A 23,212-nucleotide genomic window follows, 5' to 3' on the forward strand; every position below is an offset into this window, starting at 1 on the left:
CCAAACAAATGGTGACCAAATTAAGTTTGCTGGTTCACGTTTTTTTTCTTCCTTGGGCTAAGGTGAATTATTTTTCACATGTTAGTCAGAAGCCAGTAATGTGGCAGTAGCTAAACATAGATTAAAAAGTTAATTCTTAATTTTAATTATTATTTATTTAACAGTTAAATTTTAATTTTAATTATTTTCTAATTTTTCATTGTCCATACTTGATTAGTTAAGAATAAAATTTTTTTAAAACATGCGCTCCAAAAGAGGAGACATCACAGAAACACAACAAGCAAATTAACCTTCTGTTTTTGCCTCTGCAGAAAATGTCTCAAGAACTAGAAATAAATAAGGATGGTGATAGAGAGGTATACCTTCATATTCAAATGTTTCTGTTGAATTAGATTTTTACATTATGTTGTTTAACAAAATGTAGTAAGTGTAGGCATACATGATCCTATCATGTAAGTAGCATAAATCATCAGTGAAAAAGTTAATATTTAACTCAGAAAGAATTCTGTACATTGAGTTTTCAAGAGATACAAAGCCTAGAGATATTCTTTGATTATTATGGAACAATCCTGAATGGTGCTATAAAATGCTAGGTAATGCCACTTTAGGAGCTTTGGACCAATCATTTTATCTTTCTTGGTTTTAGTCTGATTATCAATAGATAATGTGGCTAAAGAAGATAGCTTTTTATTCTGTGTATCTTCCAGCTAGAAAATTGTATGGCTATTCAATGTGAAATTTGGGGAGCATCTCATTTTCTGGAATTCCATGCTTGCACGTCAGCAGTTTCACTCTGCTTCTTGTGTTGTGGCAAACTTTGGCTCCCATTTTCAGTGAGCACCATCATGTTTTTGATATCCCAGCAACCAAATGAAAAAAGAATGCTCAAAGGCAGTGGGGTAGAAGAATATCTTAGCGCAGAAAAGGGCAAACTTCCTTTCTATTCCTGAAGCCGCACAGTGTGTCATCCTCTAAATCTGACTGTTTAATGTAAAATCTAGGTGGTAAAGACGGAAGAGGACACATTTTGCATCTTTGTCTTTTTATTTGTGTGTTCCCATGAATCAAATGGGGTAAATACATACATAAGATTCTGAAGAGTGATTGAGAATAAAAGCACAAAATGAAGGAGGGCCCTTTTTGAATTTTGGAAAATTCTGTTTCATTCATTGAAACAGAAATGAAGCAAACTTTACAAAAATTTCTGTGATATATTAATGAGATGATAATTACATCTTAAAGTTATATGGTAATATTTCTATATATATGATCAAATTTAAGTGTGAAATATTTTTAATGACTAAAATAATGACAAACTGAGTCAATTGATAGAATCAATTAAAAAGGTTCTTTTTATTCAATAAAGTGATAACTATCCTTAATATCCCACTCAAGGTTGAAGAAGAAATGAAGAAGCATGAAAGTAATAATGTGGGATTACTAGAAAACCTGACTAATGGTGTCACTGCTGGCAATGGTGATAATGGATTAATTCCTCAAAGGAAGAGCAGAACACCTGAAAATCAGCAATTTCCTGACAACGAAAGTGAAGAGTATCACAGGTAAGCCTATGGCAACATTGAATAGAAGATAACTATGTGCTGTCAAACTAACCCTAATTTGGGCTAATATTCATGATGAACAAATTTTATAGTTTTACTAGGATATTCAGCCTTGCCCGTTAATCAGAAAAATGAAAATCAGCGAACAATGAGTTACCATTTTTCCAGGCATTAATTTATTTGAAAAATAACCAGTATTGGCAAATGTGAGGGAAAAGGCATTTTCTTTTCTTTTTAGTGAACTTTTCTTTTAGTTTCAGGGGTACATGTGCAGGGTTATTATATAGGTAAAGTGTATCATGGAGATTTGGACTGCAGATTATTTCATCAGCCACATAATAAGCAAAACACCAAAAGTTAGTTTTTTGGTCGTCTCCCTCCCGCGACGCTCCACCTTCAAGTAGACCCTGGTGCCTGTTATTCTCCTCTTTGTGTCCATGAGTTCTCATTATTTAGTTCCCACTAATGAGTAAGAATATGTGGCATTTGATCTTCTGTTCCTGCATTAGTTTGCTTAGGATAATGGCCTCCAGCTCCATCTGTGTTGCTGCAAAAGAAATGGTTTCATTGTAAAAGACATTTCATACACTGCTGGTAAATACATTTTGAACATTAATTTAGTAGCATATTCACAAACACATGTATAACAATAAGGATATATAATATATGTAAAGGATATTTGTGTAGATTTGTTACATATATACTTATGTATAAGGACATTTATTACAGCATTATTATATCAAAAAGATGGATCCTTATCAATAGGAAATTATCATTATCAAAAGTAAATCATTACCAATTGGAAATAGCTCAATTTTCATACCCAGAAATTAATGTAGTATGCAACCATTTTTTACAAGTGAGGTTAGATCTAGAGTATACTGATTATTTCACAATTAAAGTGTATTTAAAGCATCAGTGATGACATCTTAAGAGTTCTTGTTAAAATTCTTGTAATATTTCCTGTGTTGCAAATGGAAGCTACATGCTATATTGACGCTGTACCTTGTTAGCAACAAGATTGCTAGTCATTAAATTTTTATTGTCAGTGCCTGAGTGCTGAAATATTGGACCCTCAATCTGAATATTGCCAAGGGATTGTACATGGGGATCTGTATTTAATATAAACGTTTCAGTATATTGGGTAAAACTTTTATTAAAATATATCAAAGGATCTTTCATCTGCTAAACCAGGAGTTGGCCAGCTTTTTCTGCAAAGAGCCAGTTAGTAAATATTTTAGGCTTTGTGGACTATATAAATTAATTTATTTTTGAGACAGGGTCTCACTCTGTTTCCCAGGCTGGAGTGCAGTTGTGTGATCATGGCTCACTGAAGTCTTGACTTTCTGAGCTCTAGTGATCTTCCCACCTCAGCCTCTCTACTAGTTGGGACCACAGGTGTGCAACATCACACCCAGCTAATTGACACTGTGGACTGTAAAGTGAATAAGCATGGCTGTGTTCCAAAATACTTGACTTACAAAAACAGGCAGTGGGCTGGATTTGGCCCAAGGTGCTAATTTGCTGACCCTTGTGCTAAAAGGAAGGTGCTGCAAGTGAAGTGACTCCTATTTGTAAAAGTGCCCTGCGTGTGTGAAATTATCCTTCCTTTGAGAAAAGGATATATTTCAGTATTCACCTCACCATATTTTTCCACAGTGACTTCATATAATTTTAAAAATTTCATTTATAAAATAAGATTATTTTCTGCATTTCTCCCACTTTATTCCTGTTAATAGAACCCAGTATTTTGCTGTGATGAATTATTTTGTATATTTGATGAGTATCAGTTTTCCTAGAATTGGCTGATTTTATCAAGCAAGAAATACTCTCCTTGAAACTTTTAGTATTTCTTGGTCTTTATGTATAAGCATGAATAAAATGATAATCAGCTTATGTGTAATCTAGAAATGTTCAAGGCGACTTTTAGTTCTATAGTTTTAAGAATTTAACACCTCAGTCTGGCATTTTTAATGCCACATGTGTATAATTTTTATAACCTTTAAAATATATAATTGTTATATAAAATTTGAAAACTACACCTGTTATATAAAACTTGAAACTATTTGTCTATTACTTTTCCATGACTGTGGAAGAAAATTACAACATTCTCAGTCATGACTCCTAAGCATGATGTCCTTAAAAGAACTGTCCACACTCACGAACTCAAATTTTCTTTTCATTCACTCTTAATCTCACACCGGCGTCTTCAATTTCAGCAGTCCTCCAACATTGTTTTTCCTCAAGATTATCACAATTTTTTTCTGTAAATTATGCATTTTTCTTACACCTCATTTTATTTAATCTGTCAGCAATATTTGAGCCAGTGGAGGGCGTCTCCTCCCTAACGGCGTCTTCACTTGGCTTTCAGGTCCTCACTCCCTCAAGCTTTTCCTCCTGCATTTCTAGTCCATTCATCATGGTCTGTTTTGCTTGCTCCTCCTCATCTTTCTCCTTTTGGACATTGTTGTTTCCCAGGGCTCAGTCCTCAGTCTTCTTTCTCCTGACTTTTTCTTTTTCTTTTTTTGAGACGGAGTTTGACTCTGTCCCCCAGGCTGGAGTTCAGTGGTGTGATCTCAGCTCACTACAACTTCTGCCTCTTGGGTTTAAGTGATTCTCCTGCCTCAGCCTCCTGAGTAGCTGGCATTACAGGTGTGTGCCACCATGCCTGGCTAATTTTTGTATTTTTAGTAGAGACAGCATTTCCCCATGTTGGCCAGCCTGGTCTCAAACTCCTGACCTCAGGTGATCTGTCTGCCTTGGCCTCACAAAGTGTTGGGATTACAGGTGTGAGCCACTGCACCCGGCCCCTCATGACTTTTTCTGTTGTGTATATGCTAGTGATTTCCAAATGTATGTCTCCAGCTCAGATCTCTCTCCTTAATTCCAGATTTTTTATATCAGCCTGCCTACTTGACGTCTCTATTTGGTTAGTTATTGGGTATCACACACTTGTCAGATCCAAAATTGGGCTACTGATGTCCTTCCTGAAATCTACACCTCATGTAGTCTTTCCTACTTTGGTTAAGGGCAACTCTTCCAATTGCTCTGCCAAAAATGTCATTGTCATTCTTGACTCATCTGTCCCTCTGACACCTCATATCTAATCTTTCAGTAAATCTTGTCAGGTCTACCTGAAGAATATGACCAGAAGCCAGTCATATCTTGTACATCTGAGCCACTGTCATCTGCAGTCATGAGTGTCATAGACTGGGAATTGATCGTCCTGGCTTTTAAAAACTTCCCTTTTCATCAATTCTTAACTCAGTGGATGTATTTAAAACATAAGTCAAATTGTGTCATTCCTCTTCCCCAGCACTTCTGATTGCCTCCTTTTCACTCTGAGTATGGGTCAAAGTTCCTCCTGATTATCTCCCTTGCTCTGCTTCAGCCACACTGAATTCTTGCCATCCCGTATCTACCCCTAGTGCTTAAAGACTCCAGACACACCTCTGTGCTTGGCAGTTCCCTGTGTCTGGGATGCTTTTCCCCCAGATATCCTCCTAGCTTAACTCTTTCCATTCCTTCAGTTCTTTATTTAAAACCGCCTTTCTAAGAAGAAGAAGACAAAGGGTAAAAAGAAACACATTAAGGAACATCCACTTTCTGAGGAAGAACCGTGTACTACCCAGACGCATCATGCTTAAGATGCAATTGGCAGCATACAAGGAATGCTCTCTAAGGTAATCAAGGCAAGGTTCAATGAAACAAAGTGATTTATCATCTCTAACTTCAAACCTATTTGTATCTTGACATCAACGCTGTTAACCTTATGTCATCGTTTCTTAGAGTCTTTGATATACAAATAAAAGGTTTTTTGTATTAGAAAAAAAAAACCCTTTCTCAGCAGGGACTCTTCTGGCCATCTCAACTTTCCCACCACCCTCCCCATCAAACACATAAACATTTCATTTTCCTGCTTTAGTTTTTCTCCTCTAACATACCGTATATTTTGCCTTATCTGTCTGTTGTTATTGTGTGTTTTTCTCACTGTCATGAATAGGGTTTTTATTTTTCACTACCATATCTTCACTGCTTAGAAAAAGGCTTAGCATATTGGATGTAGCTACCTAATAAATACTTATTAAATAAGTGAATGGAGTTTATCCTGTGTATATTGTTTGATTGATTCTCACTTTAAAAATGTTTGACATGGGTCGGGCATGGTGGCTGACACCTGTAATCAAAGCACTTTGGGAGGCCGAGGCAGGTGGATCATGAGGTCAGGAGGTGGAGACCAGTGAAACCCCGTCTCTACTAAAAATACAAAAAAATTAACCGGGTGTGGCAGCATGCGCCTGTAGTCCCAGCTGCTATGGAGGCTGAGGCAGGAGAATGGCATGAACCCGGGAGGCGGAGCTTGCAGTGAGCCAAGATCGTGCCACTGCACTCCAGCCTGGGTGACAGAGCAAGACTCCGTCTCAAAAAAAAAAAAAAAAAAAAGTTTGACATGGTTCTTAGTCCTAACAGTTTTGCCTGGTAATTGTCTGCATTTTTAAAATCGTTTTGGCTCTTTGTAATAAGCTACATTCTTTATATTAATTTTTTTATTTAGGGAGAAAAGCCCAATATTGTGGTTATTCACTATTTATTCTTTAATAGTAATCATAATTGTCATTATGGTAAACTGAGTCAGAGGAATTGCAAACTTTACTATTTTATTTTATTTTATTTTATTTTTTTGAGATGGAGTCTCGCTGTATCGCCCAGGCTGGAGTGCAGTGGCGCGATCTCAGTTCATTGCAACGTGGGTTCATGCATTTCTCCTGCCTCAGCCTCCCAAGGAGCTGGCCCTTGCATAAGGCGGCCACACAAATTTTTGAAGCATTCTATATTTTGCGCAGTCACTGGAAGGTCATTTGACTGTTTGCTGAGTAGCTTTAAGGAAATGGTGTGAATCAAAGCAGAATGGGTGCCACAAAAACATTGAAATTGTGATTTGCGCAATAAAAATAGTCATGTAAGGTGGTCTGTGAGATGACACCAGAGCCAAATAACGTGTGGGGTGTTGTGTACCAAATATATTGTTAGTATGTATGTTAAAAATTAGAGAATGGCAACTTACAACTTCTTCGTGGAACCTAAAAAAAAATAAAAGTAGGGTTTTCGTCTCCCATGTCAGCTGGAGATGAACATGTATATAAAGCATCATCGTAACAAACATCTGGCTGAGAGTTTGAGTCTGTAGAGAAGGATCATTGGTCCAAGTCAGGTCTTGACATCCATTGGTTTTTCTGCCCTTGGCGTGATTGATCAACTCCGTAATAGTGGACAATCACATTATCTACTTTAATGAGATATTTATGAAAAAATTTAGTTACAAACTATGACATAGTTGAGATGCCCTGAATTAGAAGCCATAAAGAGTAGGACAACTAAGAAGCAAAATTAGGACTTAATAACATTTCCTGAAAACTACAACATTTGCATATTAGAACCTATGAACAAAATTCGCACTGGGTTTTATTTGGGATTCCAAGATAATTTCAGTCATAAAGTTTAGGAACAAATTATTCCATTGTTTTACTATTTCTTTGAGCATTTAAAAAAATGTTATCGTGTTAAATCATTATAACAACCTAGTAAAATAAGGCAGCATAGTCCTCACTTTGTAGAAGACATTGAGCCTAAGAGAAGCAGCTTGTTCAAGAGCAAATAGCTGTTCATTATGGAGCTAGGACTTATTTAGAGTTGGGACACTTTCTATTATGTCAGGCTAATGCAAGTTAATTTACTGGGTCACAGTGCCCTCGATTTATGAGTATTTCATCTTACTTTTTTTTCTTCTTTAATTAGAAGCTTCATGAGAAGTTTGTAGAACGTACGCATAAGTGGATGGGATAATACTGTTAAGTTCTGATATTCTGATATTGTTTGAAATACTCTAAGAATTTTACATTTGGTAAGTTTCCAGATCAGTATTTTAAAACAGTAATTTTATTTGTTATATTTTTATACATAGAATTTGTGAATTACTTTCTGACTACAAAGAAAAGCAGATGCCAAAATACTCTTCTGAAAACAGCAACCCAGGTAAGACTTGTGATAGTGAATTACTTTAGGTCAGTTGTCCACAATCTTTTTGGCACCAGGGACCGGTTTTGTGGAAGACAATCTTTCCATGGGCTGGGGGAAGGTGGGGATGGTTTCAGGATTGTTCAGTCACATTACACTTATTGTGCTACTTTATATTATTATTACATTGTAATATATAATAAAATAATTATACAACTTACCATAATGTAGAATCAGTGGAAGCTCTGAGCTGATTTTTCTGCAACTAGATGGTCCCTTCTGGGGGCAAAGTGAGACAGTGACAGATCATCAGGCATTAGATTCTCATAGGAAGCACACAACCTAGATCCCTCAGATGGGCAGTTCACAACAGGGTTCATGCTCCTATGAGTATCTAATGCTATCACTGATCTGACTGGAGACAGAGTAGAGGCTGTAATATGAATCATAAGGAGTGGCTGTAAATACAGATGAAGCTTCCCTGGCTTGCCTGCTGCGCACCTACTCCTGTGTGGCGTGGTTCCTAACAGACCGTGGACTGGTACCAGTCTGTGGCCGGGGAGTTGTGGAGCCCTGCTCTGGGAGGTCCTACCATAGATTTAAAAAGTAAAAGTAAGGAATTTTTGTTCACAAAAGAACAGTGAAGCACAGGTCATGTTACATATGCTTGTGCCAACAAGGTCTCACTGTTACTGACTTCATTCCTCCTATTTTGAAGTTGAAAGAGATGCATTTACTTTGTTGGAACAAGATGTGTTCTTCCACCGGCTGGTTAATTGTCATGATAACAGTAATTTTGTTAGAAGAAGGTGCTCTGCTACCATTTGCCAAAAGATTGTCATAATGTACAATTTTCCCAATGCAAGGGTCAGCAGATTATAATAAAAATATAAAAATGTTTCACAGTAACAAAAATGCTAGTATGCTACCTGGATGTGGACACCTAATACATGGTACAATCCAAACTGTATGAGGACACCTTTAATTTAGCTACCTATTTGTCAAAGAGCTTCTGTAAGTTAGGTTTTATAAGTTGCAGGAGACAAAGATGGAATAGATGTAGTTTTAATCTTTAAGGTGCTCACAACAGAAGTGTTTCTATTTCATTTCTGTGGTTTTTCAACAGAATTTACAAAGAAAACATTTTTATTTATGTTTTCACTTGTCCACTTAACAAATAACTGTCAAATGTCTTTTAGATACTAAGCAGTTTTTCTAAGGCTACAGAACACAAAAACAGACAGGAGCTTGTTATTATTATCATTGTCATTTTTATTATTTTGCTGCTTTATTCAGTGCTTACTGTGTGCTAGATGCCCACTGGAATCTTATAATTATGATTTATTATATGTGATATTGATTGTGTGCCAGACATATGTGATGAGGAGTGAAAGCTTTAGAAAGAAAGGAGGCAGGATTTAATGTAAGCATGCAGAGTGAGAAGAATTTTTCAGGGAAAGAAGCAGAGGAATGACATTTGGCAGAAGGAACATGGAGTGAGATAGTGTGTTTGCCAGAAGGAACATCTAATGAGATTGCCCGTTTGGGAGGAAGAGCAGCAAGTGCAGAAGACAAGATGCTTGAGTGAACATGGCAGGGTTTCTGAGCAGTTCACTTTTGCTAGTACCAAAAGTGTGAGATACCAGAGGTTGGGAGTGAGGTGAATACTTAGCTAAGGCAAGTTTACGATAGACTTTTTAATACTATAGAAATGAGTAGGTCTTTTCCTGTGGGCCATGGGAAATTTACCAGGTAGAATGCTTTGGACTGCAAATACTAGATGAGCAGTGCCTAAAACACTAGGAACCAGAGTTGTTTTTTTGTTCATTGATATCCTAGGGATCCCACTTGTCCCTCTTTCAGCTGTGCTGTTGACAGTGTTTTATTCACGTCTCCTTTTGTGGTTGGCTAATCTGCAGCAGCTCCAAACATCTTGTTTTCACAACACAACATCGAAAGGGCTGCTTTTCTTCACATGTGTCTTTTAAACAGGGAGAAAACTTAGAAGCATGCAAGGGGCTTCCTGTAACATTTCATTGGCTGGGTCATACCACATGCTCATTCCCAAACCAGGCACTGGGAAGGTAAATATCTGATTAGCTTAGAATAAACATTTCTTTCTGAGGCTGAGGAGGGGGATTGGGATATTAAATATCCCAATAGACTTATGTTTTTTCTGCCAGAAAGAATGAGGAATGGCTATTGATAGGGAGCCAACAATGTGTGCTGGAGGGGGCTCATTGGAGAAATTTGAGCAGGGGAGCCACAAGATTAAATTTGAGTATTAAGGCATTCTGGTTATGGTGTAAAATGGGTTAGCAAGCTTTTTCTTTAAAGGACCAGGTGGGAAATATTTTGGACTATGTGGTCTCTGTCATATCTACTTAACCGTGCTGTTGTCTGCTGTTGTAGTGTGAAAGCCACCATGATTATATGTAAGCAAACAGGCATGACTGAGCTCCTATAAAACTTTATTTACAAAACCATAATGCAGATTGGATTTGGCCTGTGGCCTATAGTTTCCTGGGATTGATGGGAGATAATCATGCAAAGAAACCAGGAGACAAAGGAAGCTTTTGCAGTAGTCAGCTATAGTTTCCATGTCACACATCCTTGGAGTAGCATCAATGTATTACAAGGTTTTCACCCGTCCATGGTGAAATAAATAACGTTAGAAATCTCAGTTACTCATTTTACTATGTTGGCCTTCGTTATGCCCTTTTCACTTGTTTTGCTTAATTTTTTTTCCTGTAAGAAATAACATTAATAGTTGGCAGTTTTCTTTTAAATAGAAGTCATTTTGTAAATGTTTGTGTTCCCAGTGGCAGTGGGAATATAAAACAGAGGCAGAAGAGAGGTATAGTCAATATGATTTAGTGATAATTGAATGAGAAAGGCTTGGGGGACAGAGAGAAATCTCAGATGATGTACAGGTTTCCAGATTGCACACTAGTATTTAACCTGGACATGAGGAAGGAGTAGGAAATTTTCTGGTGAATACAGAAGAGCAAAGAGCAGCAGGTCAGCAGGAATGACTAATGTTTTTCGATGCATGTTTAATGGAATATTCGTGTAGGGTATTTTGAGTAGGTAATTGGATAATCAGCATTTATAACTCGCATCCTACTAGTTTGACTCTAAGTAATAAGACTTGTCAAAGATCCAAGAATCTGAAAGTCAGTAATAAATGTCCATGTGCATCATCGTCCGTGACAGAAAGTCAGCATCCACAGAACACAGAATTGGGACAGATGAACTTAATAGATAAAGATGAATATCGGAGTTGTTCCTCTTAGGGAATGATACTCTCCATGACCTGTGTGAGTCACAGCTGCCAGAAAAGAAAGAGCAAGGAGCGTATGAAGGCAGCACAGCAAATTCGGTCCTAGAGTGCCCTGCTTGGCTTCATGTCATAGTTCTGACTTCTAAATAATCATTTTCTGCAAAATGTGCTTTGTGTTTTTCCCTCTTGCCGCCTGCAGCCAATCAGAATCTTTTTAGCAGGACATAATGAAAAGAAGTAAGAGAAAGAGTGTTTTTTTGTAATGGGATAGTATTTAACGTAAACTTGAGAGTGAGTACCAGGATTATACTTAGAATTTATGGACTGGATGGGAAGACTGGATAGAAATCTAAAGATTGCTGACTCAAACACAATGTGGTTTCTTTGATTTATTTTCACAGCTCTGAATTCACGACTGTTAATTGTATTCATATGCATTATAACTTTACAAAGCATCTTCCGAAACCAAATATTTACTGATTTATTATAATTTGTATGACTTTATTATAGAACTGACTTTCCAAGTGTTCATGAGAATTGTTTAGAATTTGCTACATTGTATCATCTCAGCTGTGTCCACATGAGCTATCTGTCACCTTGTCTTAATGAATAATTGTTCACTAGGAATATTGGTTTTGGCATTGAAATGATCTATATCTAAATGCAGATAGGACCCGGGACCACTTTTGAACATTAATGTTCAAGCATCTTAAAATTACACATAATGCTTTCATAATCTGACTTCTGCCCCACTCTCCATCTTTAGCCCTTTTCCCTGTGTGCCCTGTCTCTGGCATTACTGAACTGCTGGCAGTGCCCTACTCACTCATCCTTCTATTGTAGGCAAATACTTTCACTCTTTCAGGAGTCGCTCCCGCTCTTGCTGCTGCGTGGCATGCCGTCACCCTTTCCTGCCCTCTACACCTTTTAATCTGGCTAGTCTCAATATTTAAGTCTCTGCTTGGGCATGTGTTCTAGAAAAGCCATCTCTGACATGCTTTATTTTAATTCTTTTTAAACCCTAATGCCTAGCATGTATTTAGCAGGACTCAATAAAATATTTCTGAGTAAAACAAAGACTGTTTTTACAAAGATGATGTGCAAGACTCTCCCCTGCAGTCTTGGAGCAGAGGGGACAGACGTGGAGGAATAATGTACAGTTTAGGTGGTCAAGATGCAGTAGAAAAATCAGTAAAGTACTAAGGCAGCCTCAAGGAAGGAGGTACCTGTTTATTTGGGGAAAGACATGCAGAATCAAGGAAAACTTCATATAGCATTGTTTCAAAAGATGAAAATAAGGCCAGGTGTGGTGGCTCACACCTGTAATCCCAGCACTTTCAGAGGGAATCACGAGGTCAGGAGATCGAGACCATCCTGTCCAATGGTGAAACCCCATCTCTACTAAAAATACAAAAATCAGCTGGGTGTGGTGGTGCTTGCCTGTAATCACAGTTACTCAGGAGACTGAAGCAGGAGAATCACTTGAACCAGGGTCGCGGAGGTTGCAGTGAGCTGATCACACCACTGCATTCCAGCCTGGTGACAGAGGAAGACTCTAGCTCATAAAAAAAAAAAAAGAAAAAAGAAAAAAAGAAAATAAATTTGTCAGAATAGTGGAGAGAAACATTTTAGATATTAGGAAGATGTTGTACACTAATAAAGGTGTCAGCAGTGATTTTGGAAATCATTTATAAGGTACTATTAGGAAGTGGAGAACAGTACACTGTGTCACCTTATATGTTTCTACTGTATTTTAAAGCTGTGTTTCTGGTGGTTTTGTTCATGGATGTTGGGTGGATGAATTTGTGAGGGAATTTTTGACATGTTTGTTTGTCTTCAATCTGGTGACATCTGCTATCTCCCCAAGTGGGTTTTTGAAGTTTTTGAGAATTATTTCTTAAATGACAATTTCACAAAAGATGAAACACTCAATTTATGAAATAAAATGAAATGTCTCAAATCTGTTTTTAAAAGGCAATAGTTTTTAACTGTTTTAAGTGGTTGATTTTAACTGAATGTATGGATTTTTCAACAGAACAAGACTTAAAGCTGACATCAGAGGAAGAGTCACAAAGGCTTAAAGGCAGTGAAAATGGCCAGCCAGAGGCATGGAAACTTTTAAATTTAAACTTTTGTTTAATGTTGTGTTTTTTTTGCCTTAATAATATTAGATAGTCCAAATGAAATTACCTTTCAGACTAGGCTTTGAGAATCAGTAGATTGTTTTTTTAAGAATCTTTTGGCCAGGCAAGGTGGCTCACGCCTGTAATCCCAGCACTTTGAGAGGCTGAGGCAGGTGGATCACGAGGTCTGGAGATCGAGACCATCCTGGCTAACATGGTGAAACCCCGTCTCTAGTAAAAATACAAAAACTTAGCTGGGCGTGGTGGTGGGTGCCTGTAGTCCCAGCTACTCGGGAGGCTGAGGCAGGAGAATGGCATGAACCCAGGAGAGGGAGCTTGCAGTGAGCCGACATCCACCACTACACTCCAGCCTGGGTGACAGAGCGAGACTCCATGTGAAAAAAAAAAAAAAAAATTTTAATAGATTCTTAAAATTTATTGTAATAAAATCAGCAACCTTATTAACAGAAGAATCAATAGATTCTAATTTAATATTTGATATTTAACTTCAACATAACCCACTATAAAATTTAAAATACTCTTATTTTAAAATATTCTTATCTGCCTTCTTGATTAGCTTATAGCTAATCTCTCCTTTTGGAATAGAGGCAAAAACAAATTTCAGAACTTTGTTTGTTCTTTTATTTTTACAACACCCTAACATGATAAAGAAAGTAACATCAATGATTGAATCATATTATTAAGCAATAGGAATTATGAACAATGTAACACTGATTCCCTGAGCTGGATTCATGGTTAAAGAGTAATCATGGCCTGTGATTGAAAATCCACAGTTTTATATTGTCAGTCACTGATACCAAGGTTAAGGACATATCCTGCCTTGTGGTCTCTCGTTGACCTCAGTGTTTCTGTTCAGGGAGGGAACCAGGTCATAAAAGCAACCCAACTGCCTATTACAAGAACCATATCTTGCAGAATGGGACCTTTGGTGTTAGTGCACAAACACAATAACATTCTAATTTATTTCAGTTGCAGAAAATCAGTAGAGATTAAAAAATTTTATCTGCTGTCATTAGTACACATTAGAATATATTAGAACTGGACTTACGCAGATAATCTGGATACATAACACTATCATATGACAGTATATAATTTCAATTAAAATGTGAGAATTTGCATTTCTTTCTGTTTGGTGTTGATTTCGGCTCCTAATAGTTTAAAGGGTGCCTACAATCCAGTTAGGAATCTTTTAAAAAAGCACTTCAGTGCACTGTAGGTGCTCACTAGTTAGGGTTTCATGAGGTAAACTCTTTTCAAGTGAGGAAGATTTTGGAACACTACAAATCATCTGCTGATTCATTTTTGGTAGATTTAACACATAACAAATTAAATTTAGTCCAAACAAATAGTGAGAAAGTTAAGTTTGCTGGTTCATGTTTTTCTTCTCCCTTTGTCTAAGGTGAATTATTTTTCACATGTTAGAAGCCAGTGATGTGGCAGTAGCTAAACATAGATTAAAAAGTTAATTCTTAATTTTAATTATTATTTATTTTAACAGTTTAATTTTAATTACTTTCTAATTTTTATTGTCCATACTTGATTACTTCAGAATAAAATTATTTTAAAAACATGCACTCCAAAAGAGGAAATGTCACAGAAATACAGCAAGCAAATTAACCTTCTGTTTTTACATCTGCAGAAAAGATCTCAAGAACCAGAAATAAATAAGGATGGTGATAGAGAGGTATACCTTTATATTCAAACGTTTGTGTTGAATTAGATTTTTACATTATGTTGTTTAACAAAGTGTAGTAAATGTAGGCATACATGATCCTATCATGTAAGTAGCATAAATCATCAGTGAAAAATTAAATAGTTAACTCAGAATTCTGTACATTGAATTTTGAAGAGGTGCAAACCCTAGAGCTATTCTTTCATTATTATGGAATAATCCCGAATGGTGCCATAAAATGCTAGGTAATGCCACTTTAGGAGCTTTAGACCAATTATTTTATCTTTCTTGGTTTTAGTCTGATTATCAATAGATAATGTGCCTAAAGTAGATAATTTCTTATTCTCTGTATTTTCCAGCTAGAAAATTTTATGGCTATCGAAGAAATGAAGAAGCACGGAAGTACTCATGTCGGATTCCCAGAAAACCTGACTAATGGTGCCACTGCTGGCAATGGTGATGATGGATTAATTCCTCCAAGGAAGAGCAGAACACCTGAAAGCCAGCAATTTCCTGACACTGAGAATGAAGAGTATCACAGGTAAGCCTATGGCAACATTGAACAGGAGGTAACTTTGTGCTGCCAAACTAATCCTAATTTGAGCTAATATTCATGATGAACAAATTTTATACTTTTATTAGGATATTGAGCCTTGCCTGTTAATCAGAAAAATGAAAATCAGCAAACAATCAGTTACCGTTTTTTTTCCAGTCATTAATTTATTTGAAAAATAACCAGTATTGGCAAATGTGAGGGAAAAGGCATTTTCTTCTCTTTTCAGTGAACTTTTATTTTAGCTTCGGGGTACGTGTGCAGGTTTATTATATAGGTAAACTGTATCATGGAGGCTTGGGGTACAGATTATTTCACCAGCCACATAGTAAACAAAATACTCGAAAGGTAGTTTTTTGGTCGTCTCCCTCCTGCCATGCTCCTCCCTCAAGTAGGCCCCAGTGTATGTTATTCTCCTCTTTGTGTCCATGAGTTCTCATGTTTAGTTCCCGCTAATGAGTAAGAATATGTGGCATTTGATTTTCTGTTCCTGCATGAGTTTTCTTAGGATAATGGCCTCCAGCTCCATCCGTGTTGCTGCAGGGGAAATGGTTTCATTGAAAAAGACATTTCATATACTGTTGGTAAATACATTTTGAACATTAATTGAGTAGCATATTCACACACACATATATAACAGTAAGCATATATAATACATGTAAAGGATATTTGTATAGATATGTTATATGTATACTTATGTATAAGGACATTTATTATAGTATTATGTAAAAAATTTGGAGCTAGTCTAATTCCTTATCAATAGGAAATAGCTCAATTTCCATATCCCCAAAATAATGTATTATGCAACCATTTTTAAAAAATGAGGTTAGATGTAGGGTATACTGATTATTTCACAATTAAAATGTATTTAAAGCGTTTAGTTTGATGACACATCTTAAGAGTTCTTGTTAAAATTCTTGTAATATCTGCTGTGTTGCAAATGGAAGCTACATGCTACATTGACACTGTACCTTGTTAGCAACAAGATTGCTAGTTACTAAATTTTTGTTGTCAGTGCCTGAGTGCTGAAATATTGGACCCTCAATCTGAATATTGCCAAGCGATTGTACATGGGGATCTATATTTAATATAAACATTTCAGTATATTTGGTAAAACTTTTATTAAAATACATCAAAGAATCTTTGATCTACTAAACCAGGAGTTGGCCAGCTTTTTCTGCAAAGAGCTAGTTAGTAAATATTTTAGGCTTTGTGGACTACATATATTGATTTTCTTGAGACAGGGTCTCACTCTGTTTCCCAGGCTGGAGTGCAGTTGTGTGATCATGGCTGACTGCAGCCTCGACTTTCTGGGCTCTAGTGATCCTCTGACCTCAGTCTCTACTAGCTGAGACCACGGGTGTGCAACATCACACCCAGCTAACTGACACTATGGACTGTAAAGTGAATAAGCATGGCTGTGTTCCAAGATACTTGACTTACAAAAACGGGCAGTGGGCTGGATTTGGCCCACAGGTGCTTATTTGCTGACCCTTGTGCTAAAAGGAAGGTGCTGCTAATGCAGTGACTTTTATTTGTAAAAGTGCCCTGCATGTGTGACATTATCCTCCCTTTGAGAAAAGGATATATTTCAGTATTCACCTCACCATATTTTTCCAGTGACTTCATATGATTTGGAAAACTACATTTATAAAATAAGATTATTTTCTGCATTTCTCCCACTTTATTCCTGTTAATAGAACTCAGTATTTTACTGTGATCAATTACTTCGTATATTTGATGAGTGTCAACTGTCCTAGAATTGGCTGATTTTTATCAAGCAAGAAATATTCTCCTTGAGAGTTTTAGTATTTCTTGGTCTTTATGTATAAGCATGAACAAAATGATAATCAGCTTATGTAATCTAGAAATGTTCAAAGGGCCTTTAAAACCTTGGTCTGACATTTCTAAATGCCATATGTGTATAATTTTTATAACCTTTAGAATATATAATGGTTACATAAAATTTGAAAACTCCACCTGGTATGTAAAATTTGGAAGCTACTATTTCTTGTCTATCACTTTTCCATGACTGTGGATGAAAATTACATCATTCTCAGTCATGAGCGTTAAGTATATTGTCCTTAAAGAACTGTCTACACTCATGAACTCAAATTTTCTTTCCATTCACTCTTGATCTCAATGCCGGTAAGTCTTCAATTTCAGCACTCCTCCAGAACTATTTTTCCTCAAGATTATCACTAATTTTTTTCTGTACTAAATCTAGGCATTTTTCTTACACCTCATTTAATCTGTCAGCAATATTTGAGCCAATGGAGGGCATCTCCTCCCTAATGGCGTCTTCACTTGGCTTTCAGGACCTCACTCCCTCAGGCTTTTCCTCCTGCCTTTCTAGTCCGTTTATCATGGTCTGTTTTGCTTGCTGCTCCTCATCTTTCTCCTTTTGGACATTGTTGTTTCTCATGGCTCAGTCCTCAATCTTCTTTCTCATAGTTTTTTTTTTTTTTTTTTTTTTAAGACAGAGTCTCGCTTTGTCCCCCAGGCTGGAGTTCAGTGGCATGATCTTGGCTCATTGCAACCTCTGCCTCATGAGTTCCAGCACTTCTCCTGCCTCAGCCTCCTGAGTAGCTGGGATTACAGGTGTGCAACACCACGCCTGGCTAATTTTTGTATTTTTAGTAGAGACAGGTTTCCCCATGTTGGCCAGGCTGGTCTCAAACTCCTGACATCAGGTGATCTGCCCGCCTTGGCCTCATGACATGTTGGGATTACAGGCGTGAGCCACCGTGCCTGGCCCCTCGTGACTTTTTCTACTGTGTATATGCTAGTGATTTCCAAATGTATGTCTCCAACTTAGATCTCTTTCCTTAATTCCAGATCTCTATATCATCCCACCTACTTGACATCTCTATTTGATTAGCTGTTGGGTATCACACACTTGTCAGATCCAAAATTGGGCTACTGATGTCCTTCCTGAAATCTACACCTCATGTAGTCTTTCCTACTTTGGTTAACAGCAACTCTTCCAGTTGCTCTGCCAAAAACCTCAGTGTCTGATCTTTCTCTCTCAGTCAAGATCTTCTTGACTGATCTTTCTCTCTGTCCTGACACTTCACATCTAATCTCTCAGTAAATCTTGTCAGGTCTATCTGAAGAATATATCCAGAGGCCAGTCTATCTTGTACATCTGAGCCACCGTCATCTGCAGTTTAGATGAGTGTCATAGACGGGAATTGATAGTCCTGGTTTTTAAAAACTTCCCCTTTCATCAATTCTTATCTCAGTGGATGTATTTAAAACATAAGTCAAATGTTGTCATTCCTCTGCCCCTGCCCTTCTGATTGCCTCCTATTTCACTCTGAGTATGTGGCAGAGTTCCTCCTAATAACTGAAAGGCAGTAAACCATCTGGCATGTTACCTCTCCTGCTGAAACTTCTGTTTCTTATCTCTATTGCTGTGTTTCAGCCACACTGAACTTGTTGCTATTCCTGACCTATCCCTAGTGCTTAAAGACTCCAGGCACACCTCTGCACTTAGCAGTTCCCTGTGTCTGGAATGCTTTTTCCCCAGATATTCTTCTAGCTTACTGTTTCCATTACTTCAGCTCTTTACTTAAAATCCCCTTTCTAAGAAGAAGAAAAAGGGTAAAAAGAAACCCATTAAGGAATAACCACTTCCTGAGGAAGAACCATGTACCAGCACGATTCCTAATCCAGAGAAAATGAAGAAAATGAAAAAAAAGAGAGATAATGAGGACTAACAGAAAGGAATTAGGATTGTATCATCAGGACGCGTCAGGCTTGAGATTCAATTGGGAACATACCAGGGATGCTCTCTAACGTAATTGAGGGAAGGTTCAATGAAACAAAGTGATTTATCATCTTTAACTTCAAACCTGTTTGTGTCTTGACATCAACTCTGTTAACATCATCATTTTTTAGAGTCTTTGATGTACAAATAAAAGTTTCTTTGTATTAAAGAAAAATCCTCTTTCTCAGCAGGGATTTTTCTGGCCATCCCAACTTTCCCACCACCCTTCCCATCAAACACATAAAGATTTCATTTTCCTGCTTTAGTTTTTCTCCTCTAACGTACTGTGTATTTTGCCGTATCTGTCTGTTGTTATTGTGTGTTTATCTCACTCTCATGAATAGGGTTTTTATTGTTCATTACCATATCCTCACTTCCTAGAAAGAGGCCTAGCCTATCAGACGTAGCTACCTAATAAATAGGTATTAAATGAATGAATGGAGTTTATCCCGGGTATATTGTTTGATTGATTCTCACTTAAAAAATGTTTGACAAGGTTCATTTTAACAATTTTGCCTGGTAATTATATGTATTTTAAAAATTCTTTCGGCTTTTTATAATAAGCTACATTCTTTATATTAATATTTTTTCACTTAGGGAGAAAAGCCCAATATTGTGGTTATTCACTATTCTTTTACTGGTAATCATGATAATTGCAATTATGGTAAAATGAGTTAGAGAAATTACAAACTTTACTGGTATTTTATTTATTTAGAGACAGAGTCTCGCTCTGTCACCCAGGCTGCAGTGCAGTGGTGTGACCTCGGCTCACTGCAACCTCTGCCTCCTGGGTTCAAGCGATTCTCCTACCTCAGCCCCCTGAGGAGCTGGGATTACAGGTGCGTGCCATGACACCCGGCTAATTTTTGTATTTTTAGTAGAGACGGGGTTTCATCCTGTTTGTCAGGCTGGTCTTGAACTCCTGACCTCAGGCAGTCCACCCACCTGGGTGGATTACAGGTGTAAGCCACCACATCCGGCCACTAGTATTTTAGTTTTTTTAGGGTGGTAAATGTAATGGACTCACAAATTCTTTCCAAGGGATTATGGACCTTCGGTATTTGAAATAAAAAGACAGTTGGAATTTTTTGCTTCCGATAGTAAGACTATACTGGTCAGGCACTGTCTATTCTGATGGAGCAGCTGTTGCTGCTTGGCTGTCTTTCAGAAGCAAGCTGCTCACACTGATATTGGTTGGTGAGCACAGCCAGTGGTCGGTCATTGATCGATTGACTAGATTTTGAACTGGCTCTGGCTGGCTTCTTGTTACCATGGCTACAGGTCAATTCTTTCCTAAGTTTGAGTCAACTTTAACCAGAAATTTTCTGTTCAAAAGTTGCCTTCCATTAACTATGTTCAAAAAGAAACTTTTTAATATTCCAGAATTGTGGATTTAAAGTTTTGGTTATGATGACTTGGTTAATAATAGCTCTCACGAAGATTTTTTTTTTTTGATACATCATCTTAACCAGAAGTGTTCTCTGTATAATTTATTTCTTAAAAATAAGTGTTTTGTTTTTGTTTTTGGTATTTTTAGAAGCTTTTGCTCAAGTCCTAACATAATCTCCAGTAGGAGATTTTAGTCTCTTTGTCAGTTCATGTATGTATGTGATAGTCATATTCTGTGTTTTTAAATTCCTTTTCTTGTTCACTTTTTTCTCTGTACAATAATAGTGATATTGTTATACATTTTTATCTCATTAAAAAGTTGTTAACAATTTTCTGCTGGCAAATCTAGCTTTTTCTATATTTTGACTGAATAGGTTAAAAATGAAGAAAATTTACGAGATCATTTTATTTTCAAACAAAATCATAAGTAATAAAAATTGCTATTTTGAATTATAAATAATGACATTTAGATATTTTAAAAATAAGGATAACCACCCCCCCCCCCCCCCCGCAATAGTTTGGCTTTGTGTTTCTATGCAAATCTCATGTCAAATTGTAATTCCCAGGTGTTGAGGAAAGACCAGCTGGGAGGTGATTGGCTCATGGGGTCGGTTTCCTCCATGCTGTTCTTGTGATAGTGAGTGAGTCCTCACAAGAGCTGATGGTTTCATAAGGGGCTCTTTGCGCTTCACTTCTCTCTTCTCTCTCTCCTGCCGCCTTATGAAGAAGGTGCCTGCTTCCCCTTCCCCTTCTACCATGGTTGTTAAGTTTCCTGAGGCCTCCCCAGCCATGCGTAACTGTGAATCAATTAATCCTCTTTCCTTTATGAATTACCTAGTCTCAGGTATGTATGTGTGTGAATTACCCAGTCTCAGCTATGTACATATGTATATGTGTGAGTGTATATACACACATACATATATATGATACATGTATGTGATGTGAGATATATATATATGTATATACGTCCATTTTCTTTATTCCACGCATCAGTTGATGGACACTGGTTGATTCCATATCTTTGCATATTGTGAATTGTGCTGCAGTAAACATATGTATGCGGGTGTCCTTTTGAGAGTATGATTTCTTTTATTTTGTGTAGATATCTGGAAATGAGAATGCTGGATAAAATGGTAGGATCTACTTTTAGTTCTTTGAGAAATCTCCATACTGTTTTCCATAGATTTGTATGAAGTTGCATTCCCACCAGCAGTGTATCACTGTTGTCTTTTCACCGCATCCACACCAACATCTGTTGTTTTTTGATTTCTAATAGTGGCCATTCTGGCTGCAGTGAGGTGATATCTCACTGTGGTTTTATTGTACATTTCCCTGATGATTAGAGATATTTAGCGTGTTTTTATATGCTTGTTTACCGTTTGTACATCTTCTTTTGGGAAATGTCTATTCATGTAATTTGGCCACTTTCCAATGGAATTATTTGCGTTTTTCCTGTTGATTTGTTTGAGTTTCTTGTAGGTTATAGATATTAGTCCTTTGTTAGCATCATAATTTTCAAAATTTTCCCATTGTATAAGTTGTTGTTTTACTCTGATGATTATTTCTTTTGCTGTGCTGAAGCTTTTTAGTTTAATTAGGTCTTATTTATTTATTTTCATTTTTGTTGGATTTGCTTTTAGGGTCTTCCTCATAAATCCTTTGCCTAGGCCAATGTTTTCAGGTCTTAGGTTTAGGCCTTTCATCCATCTTGAATTAATTTTTGTATATGGTGAGAGATAGAGATCCAGTTTCATTCTTCCACATGTGGCTATCTTTTTTTCCCAGCACCATTTATTGAATAACCTGTACTTTCTCCAGTGTATGTTTTTGTATCCTTGCTCAGAGATCACTTGGTTGTAGTGGCTTTATTTCTGAGTTGTCTGTTCTGTTCCATTGATCTATGTATCTGTTTTTATACGAGTACCACGCTGTTTCTGTTACTGTGGTCTTAGAGTATCATTTGAAGTCAGGTAATGTGATGCCAACATATTTGTTCCTTTTGCTTGATATGTCTGTTGCTGTTCAGGCTCTTTTGTGGTTCTACATGAATGTCAGCATTTTAAAATAATTCTGTGAAGAATGACATTGGTACTTTGGTAGGTATTGTATAGAATGTGTAGACTGCTTTGGGCACTATGGTCATTTTCACTATATCAGTTCTTTCAGTCCATGAACATAAGATGTATTTTCATTTGTTTGTGTCATCTGTTATTTTCTTTGGTGGTGTTTTCCAGTTATCTTTATATAGATCACTCACTTTTTTCATTAAGTATATTCCTAGGTACTTCACACCTTTTTGAGCCACTGTAAAAGGGATTGGATTGTTGATATGAACTCTCAGCTTGGTTGTAGTTGGTGTATAGTGGTGCTACTGATTGGTATTCATTTATTTTGTAACCTCTGAGACTTTACTGAATTCATGTATCAAATCTAGGAGTGTTTTGTAGGAGTCTTTAGGGTTTTCTAGGTATAGGATAATATCATTGGTGAAGAGATAGTTTGACTTCCTCTTTTCCAATTGGGATGCCCTTTATTTCTCTTGCCCAATTGCTCTGCCTAGGACTTCCCAGTTTTATTCTTAATATGCATGAAATAAAAGTAAAATGGAAAGTGCTTAACGATGAGTTTATTTCACATCTCTCTCTCATACACAGATAAAATTATTTCAAAGTCCTATGTTAAAAACATAATATTAGACCCTGTCTTGTTCTAAAAGGAATTTCTAAGTTGTTTATAAAATACATAGGAATCAAGAATATAAGTAGAAAGTGTTTCCAAACAATAAACATAAAGAGTATGGGTTACAGGACACAGACCATTAG

General features: G+C 36.9%; 1 protein-coding gene across 5 annotated transcripts in view; it reads left to right on the plus strand.

The window, feature by feature from the left end:
• Nucleotides 1–23,212, plus strand: part of POTEE (POTE ankyrin domain family member E) — a 55,743-nt gene that overhangs the window by 28,347 nt on the left and 4,184 nt on the right. For 3 of the 5 annotated variants that reach the window (NM_001083538.3, XM_047444421.1, XM_047444419.1), the window contains 6 exons: nt 312–356; nt 1,396–1,562; nt 7,525–7,595; nt 12,896–12,966; nt 14,644–14,688; nt 15,036–15,217. In NM_001083538.3, the coding sequence (NP_001077007.1) occupies nt 312–356; nt 1,396–1,562; nt 7,525–7,595; nt 12,896–12,966; nt 14,644–14,688; nt 15,036–15,217 (581 nt within the window). The remainder of the gene's footprint in view (nt 1–311; nt 357–1,395; nt 1,563–7,524; nt 7,596–12,895; nt 12,967–14,643; nt 14,689–15,035; nt 15,218–23,212) is intronic. The other 2 variants (XM_047444420.1, XM_047444418.1) reach the window with 2 other exon arrangements.

Source organism: Homo sapiens, chromosome 2 (assembly GCF_000001405.40).
Source record: "Homo sapiens chromosome 2, GRCh38.p14 Primary Assembly".
NCBI classification, from domain to species: domain Eukaryota; kingdom Metazoa; phylum Chordata; class Mammalia; order Primates; family Hominidae; genus Homo; species Homo sapiens.